Here is a 12221-nt window from a genome sequence, read left to right as displayed (position 1 = left end):
GGTGTGCGTAGGTTATATGCAGGTGGTAGCTATTTTATATCAGGGTTATGAACATCCATGGATTTTTTTGTATCTGAGAGGGGTCCTGGAACCAGTCTTCTGGGGATATTGAGGGGCACCTGTCCTGTACAATTAGAATAATAACACGGGGCATTTATTGAGTGCTTACTTCTTACCAGGTACTCTTTGACATTTGTCATCACTATAGTCTCATTTAATGTTTATCATCATTCTATGAGAGATTTTATTCATATCCTGGTTATCATGCCTCATGGTCATTTATGTCACATTAGCATGAAGTACTAAGAATGTCAGACATCAGCAGCAGTGTTGGTGCAAAGGAGGGCATTGGAAGGCTGCAGCCACTGTGAAATCTCAATTAGCTCCTCAGACTACCCCATGGACACTCCATCTAAGAAACACGTGATATGCTGGGTCACAGAGAGTCCCACCAATATTTTCTCTTCCAGGTTTCCTTGGTAGAAACTTAGGAGCCACCACTGATGAGCAATATGAAAAATGTGGGACAATAATATTCCTGGTTTTCTTTCTTCATCCATTGTTCCTTTCTCTTCTTGACGGACAAGTGTGTGCTCACACACACACACATGCATATGAACAGACTGCACACACATACATGCATAAGTGCACACACACACACGCAGCATACATGTGTGTTCTCTCACAGAGAACAGTATAGTATCATAATATAGCAGAATTAGGGATAAATTTCTAGCAACCTTCAGTTTGCTCCAGTCCTCAGAATAAATCTTGACTTTCAACCTGACAACAACTGTATGTGAAAAATTCATTTTAAAACACATACATAGTATTTTATGATTATTTTCTATTTGATATTGCTGCTCTTCTGGAAAGGCTGATTTGAACTCACCCATACTTTCATTTAACACACACACAACTACCATTACTAGAAAATTGCATAGAAGGGACCGTCCCTATCTGTCTCCACACACATTTTTATATGCTCTATTAAAATCGCTTACTTTGCCAATTATATTTCCCTGTGCCTGGTTACTAAGGCATCCTTTGTATCACGTTAATGCCTGTGAGGGTCAGCCTCCACGCTGCTAGGTAACATCAGAGCGACTTCCAATTTCATTTCGGTATAGATTTGTCCTGAAGTCCCTGTCATTAGACACTTTTACCTGTGGAGCTTTTAGGTGGGCATATTGGGGTCTATGTCACCGTGACAGGTCACTAAAACTTGCCAGTGCTACCCTGACATGCGCTTTGCAGTTCGCTTTTACATTTGTTTTAACCTTAATGGAGGCTCGTGGCAGAAAGATAGGCTGGCATAGCAATGAAGTATGAGTCATTACAGTCCTCTGCAATCCAGAAAGAAATGTCAGCACAGCAGCTCAATCTTCATTGCTTTTTATATCTGAGTGCCAGGTGGATTTTAAATTTCTTTAAAGTACTTTAACTAATCAAGCTTCCATTCCAGCCTCTTTTCTTCCCCCAAACTGCAATCTCTTTCATTTTACTTTCTGTCTATTCAATGAAAAAAGTAATCATTTCAAAAAGTATTTGTACTGAATTTTTGTTTTGCTTTCCCAAGAAATTATTAAAAAAAAAATCATGCATCAATGGTAGACATTGCAGCCTAAAGTGATGCAGTTATGAGACAAATTATTAATCTTTACTTCTTAGGTATAATACAGGAATTAACGTAAAAAATAAAAGTACATTGAGTTGTAAGTGCTTACATGTTTTAGACATACGCTTATTGACACAGGTGTTCTTTTAAAGGATTTCTTTAGAAAACGGTTTCTGTTTTTTAACAAAATATTAACTTTAATTTGAGTTGGATACTTTCAACTTGTATTTAGGTAATTTAAATAAATTCCAAAATATAATCCGTGTTGACACTCTAATATTATTCTCCTCTTGTCTTTGTTTTTTTTTTTTCTGTGACACATGTAAGTATGCTTGGCCTACTTAATGAAAAAATTGAATATAGAATCCTAGGTGGGCAGGGTTTATTTATTTTCAAGAATATATGAAGTGAGAGTCAGCCATGAGTGTGTAAGTATATACATTTCCTCAGGCTTGCCAACTAAGATATTATAAAACTATAAACTTTGACAACTGAATGGGTGAAAACTTTAACTGTAGTTTAGTTTTCGTATTCTGTGATACTAGTGACATTCAAGAGCTTTTCATTTATTATCAAATATTTAATTTTTATTATTGTTACTTTCCTGTGTTTATTTTTTTGAGTGGTCATTTAAAAATTAATTTGTAGTTTTTAGTTAATTTTTACTAATATTATTTCCTTGTTACATATGTAGAGCATAATTTCTAAATTTCTTTATCCTCTAACTTTGCTTTTAAGTACATTTAAAAATACCTAATTTTGATGAAGAACATATATCAGTCTTTGCTAGGTTTTGTTCTGGAGACTTCTTTATAAGCCCTTTCCTCCCCTTCCAACTTCATGAATATGCATATAGATACATAAGATATATATGTGTGTGTGTATAATACGTATGTATATAATTGTTTTTATATCATTAGTTCTATTCCATTCATCTATTCTTTTGATACAAATCCTACACTCCTGTAGTAACTTGAAATATAAAGTAAGTTTTAATATTTTGAAGGAAAAGCCCTTCTGTTTTTATTTTCCACAGTAACCTTGGCTCTTTTTGTGCATATTGCATCATGTAAATTTTACAACTGTTTTGTCAGGGTCTATAAAAAGTCCTTTTAAAGATTTGTCTATGACTATGCTGTACTTATGGGTTAATTTTGGAGAGATGGTGTATATGCCATATTGAATCTTCAATCCATGGACATAATATCTCTAGTAATTTGGGTAACCTTTATTTCCTTAGTGGAATTTAAAATTTTTTTTCATAAATCCTTTCTAGAGTTTTATAGTTTCTATAGTTTTCCTGGGTATTTTATTTTGTTACTTCAATATTTTATGTCAATATTTTCTAATCTGTGTTTGCTGATGTATTAGATATTTATTCAGCTACGCATCACCTAATGATATTTCAGGTCACAATGGGCTGCATATATGATGGTGGACCCAGTAGATTATAATCTAGCTAAAAAATTCCTATCACCTTGTGATGTCATGGCCATGATAACATCATAGTGCAACACGTCACTCAAGTGCTTGCAGTGACGTTGGTGTAAACAAACCTACAGTGCTCCCAGTTGGATAGGATTATAGCACATACAATTGCATACAGTGCATGATAATAGGTGACTGCTACTGGTTTATTTATTTACCACACTATATTTTTATCATTAACTTAGAATGTACTCCTGCTACTTACTGAAACCATGTTAACTGTTAGGCAGCCTCAGGCAGGTCCTTCCAGAGATATCTAGAAGGCGTTGTGATCATAGGAGATGACAGCTCTATGCCTGTCATTGCCCCTGAAGACCTTCTACTGGGACAAGATGTGGAAGTGGAAGACAGTGATATTGACGATCCTCACCTTGTGTAGGTGTAAGCTAATGTGTGCATTTGTGTCTTAGATTTTATTTAAAAAAATTAAAAGTGAAAAAATAAAAATATAAAAGAGCTTTTCCAATAATGATATAAAGAAAGAAAATGTATTTGTACAGCTATACAATACGTTTATGTTTTAAACTAAGTGTGATCATAAAAGTTAAAGAGTTAGACAATTAGAAAGTCTGCAAAGTAAAACAGTTACACTAAGCTAAGGTTAATTTATTATTGAAGAAATAATTTCTTTTTAATTCAGTGTAGCCTAAGTGTATAGTGTTTATAAAGTCCACGGTAGTGTATGGTAATGTACGAGGCCCTCACATACATCCATCACTCACTCAATGACTCACCCAGAGAAACTTCCAGTCCTGCAAGCTTTATTCCTGCGCCCTATACAGGTATACCATTTATAATCTTTTGTGCCATAATTTTACTGTACCTTTTTGATATTTAGGTATGTTTAGATACACAAATACTTACCGTTGTGTTACAATTGCCTATGGTATTCAGAAAAGTAACATGCTGTTCAGGTTTATAACCTAAGAGCAATAAACTTTAATACTTAGCCTAAATGTGTAGTAGATTAAACCATGTAGGGTTGTGTAAGTACACTCTATGACATTCACACAAGGATTCTCAAATGATACCTGTGTCGTTAAGTGATACATGACTGTATTTTAATTTTACACAGGCAATTTCATTTAAACTCTGGTTTTTCAGTGGATTCTTCTGAATTTTCTAGGTTGTCTATAAAACTACCTAGAAAATTGTCTGGAGTTGTTTGCTATTTTTCTCTTGTGTTTAAATTTTTATACTTAATTTTATTTCTTTTCTTATTTAATTCGCTGGACTTTTAATACAATAGTTAATTTTAATGTCTTCTAGATTCTACCAAGACATTAACGTTACATCGGCTTTTGATTCTCCCCAAAACGAAACTTTCACTGATAAAAAAGCGAGAGAGCTTGAATGACTAGAGAAACTGACATAAAAACCAAGAGCGAATTGTGGGGATGGATGCAAATGTCTGCATGTGATAACATTACACAGAATGTCCCCGAAACTCACAGATGCATGTTTGGAAGATGGTGGAAATTGAATATGATCTATAGTTTAGTTAGGAGTAACTTCTTGGTTTTGATTATTGTACTATTTAAGATGTCACCATTGAAGGAAGATGGGTGGGACCCTGTACTATTTATGGAACTTCTTTTGAGTTTGTAATTATTTCAAAACAAAACATTTTTAAAAAGTCAAGAGAGAGCTCAGTGGAGCCAGGGGCCGTAAGGTGGGTAGGCGTGCGAAGGTCGCCTTCACACTATGTGCTCTATATGAGGTTAGCAACCAAAAACAATGAAGGGCACCTGCCTTAGCCGGGATGGGGCTGAGGAATTGCTGTGTGGAGCTCTTTTCCTCCTCCTCCTTATCCAGGGGAATCCCTGTCCTGCTCAGTGTGAGGTAGACGCTAGCCAGGAACCAGCCGGAGAAAGCACAGAGCTTGAAGCCTGCTAGGATTGGGAGCTGGTGGAAACAGAGTGCTGCACCCCGTCCACCCACCCACACACCTCCTTCTCTACTCTGTGTTGTAAGGTGAGGTTTATAGCCGGCATTCTGGTTCAAATCCACTTGTGTGTTTTTGCTAATAATTTCATCTTTACTTCTACAGTATGAAATTATTACCCATCTTATTTGGTTCTATAGTTTGTCAATTTTCATCATTCTTTTTCTTTCCTTGACTGTTTGTCTCAGAATTTTACCCTATTGCTCTCTCCAAATAATTAGCTTTTGGTTTAGATGGTTTAGATGACCTACTCCAGTGCTTTTATTCTCTATATTTTTATTCTTAATTCATTATTTTCTTTTTTCTTGTTTACTGAGTATCTTCAGTTCTTCCTAAACTTTTAGAGAGAAGCATTTAGTAATGTGTTTTCAGTCTTTCTTGTTTTCTGATAAATGTATTTGAAGCTGGAATAAATAGCAGCTGTTCCTGGCACAGTGATACCTGCTGAGGGGGTCCCCATGGCCAAGCCTGCACTCTGCACTAGAGGCAGCCTTGAACCTAGTGAAGCTTTGTCTCCCTGAATCCTGGGAGTGTCTGTTTTATTGCCTTTTGGCATTTCTATTTACTGAAGAGAAGTAGCAGGACAGCCTGCTGGTTTTTTTCTTTGATAATATTTTCTTAAAAATGTTTTCTAAAAAACTTTTTTTTGTACAAAATATTTTTAATTGTTAGATTTCAGTGATTTTATCCATTTTTGGCTAGGTATAAAGTCAACCCTTTCTAAATGTAAATGTATGGCTTGCTTTAGCCTGACAAGGACTTTCCAGATACATTTTCTTTTATCATATTTAATTATATCTCTTACATGTGCTGTTCTCTATTAGCCTGAAATTTTTCTGCAGGCATACATATGCAAACATATTATATTATTTGTTTTTTATATCTATCATCTTCTTTATCTATATTTCTTCTCCTTGGAATTATAGGCATACATGATCGCTTCATCTCTGATTTATTTTTCTGCATTAATAAATTCCCTCATTATTTTTAATGTCCTCTGAATTATCTTATGACATGATTAATTTTACTTATTTTATTTAACTTTGGCAATCTCTGTTTTCCTTTAAGATTGTTATTTTAAAATTTACTAATGTGTATATTTTGTTTCATAGTGTTCTTGTTTTATTTAATTTTTAGAGGAATTCAGAACATGTTGTCTAAAATATTTTTATTTTAAAAAATGTAGAAATCTAATTTCTTCTATTTCCTTAGTGCTGGTTTATTCCATCTTTATATTATAAAGTAATTTCACAGGACTCATGCTGGTTTTTCATGCTTGCTAATCACTGATCAAAGAGAGGCCAATAATTGATGCTAGTGATTTCTAAAACTGAAAATGAGGGTATTCACTCACAGTTCAATTGGAATGCTATTAGATTTTTTTTTTATTGGATCTTCAGCTGGAGGAAGAGATAAATGATAAGTGTTGAGAGAGTTGGATTTCAGGGAAATGCCCACATTTGGATTTTATTTCAACAAAGGCTATTGTTTATCTGGTGGAGACACTATGCCAAGAACCAACTTCCTTTACTTGAATTGTGTTCATGCCATTGTTTATCCCCTAGTAAACTGGCAACTCCATCAAGAAATAATGCCTCCATGGAAACCAGTTGTTCAAGCCAAACCTGGGAATTACCTCTGACAGCTATCTCTTCTTCAGCCTTGAAAGTTCTATTAATGCAACTCCAAAGATAGTTCCAAAAAATATCCATTTCACTTATTCTTTATTGCCAGTACCCAAGCTAAAGTGACCATGCTGTCTCCATAGACTAGAATTATCCCAACTGATCTCCAACTTTCATTCATGTCCCCTACTATTCATTTTCTAAACCACACCCAAATCATTTTTAAACATTCTGTAATGATATTTTTGATGGTTGGTTTTGTGTCAACTTGTCTGGGCTAAGACATGCCCAGATGACTGACAGAATATTATTTCTGGATGTGTCTGTGAGGGTGTTTTTGGAAGAGATTAACATTTAAATCAGTACACTGAGTAAAGAAGATCTGCCCTCATCCATGTGGTCAGGTATCATCCCACCCATCGAGGGCCCAAATAGAACAAAATGGCAAAGGGAGGATGGGTGAATTTATTCTCCCTCTCCTTGAGCTGGAACATCAATATTCTCCTGCCTGGGACATTGAAGCTCCTAGTCTCAGGCCATCAGATTATGAAACTTAGCCCAGAAGCCCTCTTCTCCACCCCACCCTGGTTCTCAGGCCTTAAGACTCGGAGTGAATTACACCACAAGCTTTCCTTGTTTCCCAGCTTGCAGACAGCATGGTAGGACCCTTCAGCCTCCATAACTGTGTAGGCTAATCCCATCTATTTCTATCTCGTTCTATGTCTTCTGTGTCTATGTGTATGTTGAGTTTTATGTTGATGTTGATGTCTATGTCTAGGTCTATGTGGATGTCAATGTCTATCTCTAGCTCTATCCTATTTGTCTGTTTCTCTGGAGGACCTTTACTAATACATTCTCTTTTTTGTCAGTGCTACATCATTTATTCAGGAAAAATTCAAGTTGGTATTCAGTTCTTCAATGTTCTTTAGTAAAAACCATGCTCAAAGATTATTTTATGTAGACTCTGTTTTCCAAGTTTGCTGAAATGATTTTCTCTCTTAATTTCATACTATGTTTGTGGATTGTTAAGTTGATTTCTGAGAAACAGCAGGAATGTGTGGGTGGGGATCAATCAGAGGGATGGTGCGTTGGATATCTTTATTCGTGTTATTGTTTACTCTCCTAACATTTTTGAAACCCCTGACCTATATTTGGCTGTTACTTCTTTGATGGTGTATCAGGAAGATGCCTTAACAAACTGCCATAAACTGGGTTCTTAATAGAAATTTAGTTTCTCATCATTCTGGATGCTAAGAATACAAAAAATAAGTTTTTAGCAGGGACACAATCCCTCCAAAACCTCTAGTAGAAGATTTTTCCTTTACTTTGCCAGCTTCTGGTAGCCGCAGGGCCTTGGTTGCAGAGGCATCACCCTCATCTCCACCTCTGTTGTCACATGACTGACTGTCACTTCCCTGCAGGTCTCTGTCTTCTGCTTTTTTTTGTTTTTGTTTTTTTTGACGGAGTCTCACTCTGTCACTAGGCTGGAGTACAGTGACATAATCTCAGCTCACTGTAACCTCTGCCTCCCGGGTTCAAGTGATTCTCCTGCCTCAGCCTCCTGAGTATCTGGGACTACAGGCACGTGCCACCATGCCCAGCTAATTGTTGTATTTTTAGTAGAGACGGGGTTTCACCATGTTGGCCAGGACGGTCTCAATCTCTTGACCTTGTGATCAGCCCACCTTGCCTTCCTATGAGGGCCCACCCTAGCGACCTCTTCTTAACTTGATCATATCTGCAAAGACCCTGTTTCCAAATAAGGGAATATATACAGGTACCAGGGGTTAAGACTTCAACAAATATTTTTGGGAGACAGAATTCAACCCACAACAGATGATATTTATGGTTCTTGAAAGCAATTGTGACTTATTCAAATTTAAGTCTTCAGAATGGGAGAGAATAAAAACTGATAGCACAGTTTAGTGCCCGGAACACGGTAAAATCGTATGGTAATAAGATGGGTTTCTATTGTGTCTGCTAACCTGCCCTATGAAGAAAATTTTAAATCCCTTGTTCAATGGTGGCACCACTGCAGTAAATATATATCTCTCATATAGTCTACTTGACTTATAGTTTCTGATAGATATGATAATACCTAAGCTTTGATATATATTATTATACTTATGATACATATATCTAAGTCACTTCTAAACTGTCATTAGTTCGCACATTTATTTTTGTTATAACAGGAAATCCAAATGCCTATTTTCCAGCTATAAGTGCTAAGCTATGAGTAGTTGTTCTGTTTATCTTTTCTATCTCATTTGGCTTAAAATGGATGCTTAGGATGCTTAGTTAAGAGTAACAGGATTTAAAACCTTGTCATCAGAGAGCTACTTGATAACTAGTCTCTTTAGGCCAATGTATTCTATTAGTTTCAGTTGAAGGCAGCATAACCAAACTGTGCAGGTATTCAACATCAATAAAAACAATCTCAGGACAGTGATTTCTCTGGAATTCTTCATTCTTAATGAGTGGTATTACTTCTTATGTAAATCTGGTGAAGCTAAGGCATAAGATGTTACTGAAAGATGCAAACTACTCTATTCAAGTGATCATCTGCCCAGTACTTAGGAAACAATTTTGACTGGTGCTAAATGCATCTGGATGAGCAAATCACATGCTATGAAACACAGTATAATAACTGGAGAAGACATTTTTGTCTTCCTGTCTTGTAAATTCTTCTGTATGTCCAGTAAGCTGTGGATAAACAGGTTCAGACAAATATTATGATTGGAACACCAGTTCTAGATTGTGCAGGAAAAGATATTTTGTTAATTTGTTCTGACCCTCAAAATTGTGCACATTTTACAGCAAGCACAGATGTTAAATCATGTCCCTCACCTCTCTTTGTTCAAACAATGAACACTGCTAGTTTGAGTTGCTATTAGAAAGTACCATAGACCAGGTGCCTTATAAACAGTGGAAATATATTTCTCATAGGTCCAGAGTTGGGGAAGTCCAAGAGAAAGACATCAGGAAATTCTGCATCTGGTGAGGGTTGCTTCCTGCTTCCTAGATGATGTCTCTTCACTGTAAACTCACAGCGTCAAAGAGCCAAAAGAGCTCTTTCGGGTCTCTTTTAAAGAGGCACTAATCTCATTTATGAGGGCACCACCTTCATGATTTATTCATCTCCAAGGGCCCCACCTCCAAGTACCAGCACATTGTGAATTAAGTTTCAACAGCCTACTTTAGGGAAGACACAAATATTCAGTCCATAGCACACACTTTGGCCCTGTCTAGTGTAGCAGCTAAGAACTCTAAACATCTTCTGGATTGTCACTCTAAGTTGCAGTTGACTTAGGTCACAGGTGACACATACCGAAGTGATTAATTCTATGAGCCTTTTACAATGAGACCAAGACAGTTTTATATATTAGAGAACGATTACTATATTATATCATACAGTTTTCTATAGTATAAAAAAATTTTGACTAAAAAATATTATTTAATTTTCTATCTCGTCCACATAAAGAAAAGCTGTGGAAGAAAGTAAAACAAAAATCTTGGGAAACCCTGTTGAATATTCTGTTGTATGGTGTGATGCTGCAGAAATCCTTTGATAGCTATAATACATTAAAATTGTGGATTCTTTTTTCACTGCGGTAATCAGATTCCATTGCTGACTTATTTATGTAAATAAAATTGAGATTAATGAACATTCATCTTATGCAAGAAAAAAATTGTGTGTATTTTTTAAATTCAGTAGCTAGAACATACAGTGATGAAAATGAATGTTTGCCAATTGAATTGATTGAACAGGAAGAGGTAGTTTCTAAATGTCATTGTATTTTTGACCCTGGATATCATTACTATATAGAGATAGGTCTAACATGAAGAAACAATAATATATTCCTTATCACACAATTTCTTCTTACATGGATTGTAAGTGGGTGAAAATTGAAAAAGCTATACTTGCTTTTTTCACAGTAAATGGAATCAAAACAAAAACAACATGAGTATTTGCGTTAAATGCATTGGCATTCACTAAATTCAGTTAGCATAACAACCAACTAGGTGGGCTGATATGGGTATAGCAGCTGTGTGTCATCAAAGGGTAAGGATTTGGTATTGTTCCTAACCCAAATCTGGAGTTAAGTGAAGATTTGTTTTGATGAATAATATGAATTTTAAAATCTTTGAAAATAATATTTCTTCCATAGAAATCAATTTACCAAATTCCCAAATAAAGCAAACTCTCAGGTATAAAAATATAATTTGTGTTTCTGAAAATATTCCAGTATATATGATGAATCTTCATTATGTTTGGCATTTGTCCAGCTCCAATCAAGTTTTCTGTGCAGTTCTGAATTTTTAAATTGATATTGGTTTTTAAATTTTCTATTTGTATCAGTTTTTTACTGTGAGATTCTATTCTTCTATGTGTACTTTCCACTTTTCCAACATGTTTTCAGCTATTTGACTTTTTTTTTTTTTTTCGATTGAGGCAGAGTCTCGCTCTGTCACCAGGCTGAAGTGCAGTGGCGTGATCCCAGCTCACTGCAACCTCCGCCTCCCAGGTTCAAGTGATTCTCTTGCCTCAGCCTCCTGAGTAGCAGGACTGCAGGCACACACCACCACGCCCAGCTAATTTTTTGTATTTTTAGTACAGACAGGGTTTCATCATGTTGGCCAGAATGGTCTCCATCTCTTGACCTCATGATCCGCCCGCCTCGGCCTCCCAATGTGCTGGGATTACACGCATGAGCCACCGCGCCTGGCCGAGCCATTTGACTTTAAAGTCATATGCTGGGCCTGTTTGTTTATTCTTTGGTTGTGCGCTGCGTGTGGGATCAACAGACTTTGTTCATAAGGCACCTCTCTTTTAATGTAACTTGTAAATGCTATTTGAGCAAATTGTTTTTAGTCATGTGTCATCTGAATCTTATGGCACTATTGAGTCTCTCCTATCTTTTCCTAGCCAGAGAAGATGAATTATTTTTTCATTCATGTTTTTATATCATGTTTTTGGTATAACATAAAATGCTGTTTTCTGATAAATTCAAACTCTTTAGCATCAAGGGGGTAGGCTGCTGAGGCAACCTTACGGCATATCAAAATAACTCTTAATCTGTCACTTGTGGATGCAGGTCAGTGTGATCTGCCACCTATCACGTAATATTGCCTGTTAAGTCATTTATCTTTCTCCCATTGCTTGCTATATAAAGCCCAAATGACCCATCATGGCAGACACACCATGACCCTGTCTTTTACACTTGACATCCTATCCCATTTTTATTTAAGTACCCTATGTTTGGCCATACCAACTCTTTTGCCGTTTCCCATATTTACTTCCCTGTCATGATGCACATTCTCTTTCCTCTATCTCAAAAACATTTTATCTTAATTGTCCAACAGATAAAACCTCTAAGTGCCTTTTAAGCCTCTGCTCACCTAGATCCTTCCATGAGAAGTCTTCGGGCATTTTTAAGGGCTCTTGATCAGTTTATCCTCTGTGGGGATCACTCCCTCCACGGTGTGCTAGTCACTCCTTTACTGTGGTATTTATCATGTGAAGTGGCAATTCGCTAATTGTGAG

This window comes from Homo sapiens, chromosome 6 (assembly GCF_000001405.40).
Source record: "Homo sapiens chromosome 6, GRCh38.p14 Primary Assembly".
Classification (NCBI taxonomy): domain Eukaryota; kingdom Metazoa; phylum Chordata; class Mammalia; order Primates; family Hominidae; genus Homo; species Homo sapiens.
Note: the sequence above shows the minus strand (reverse complement) of the source record.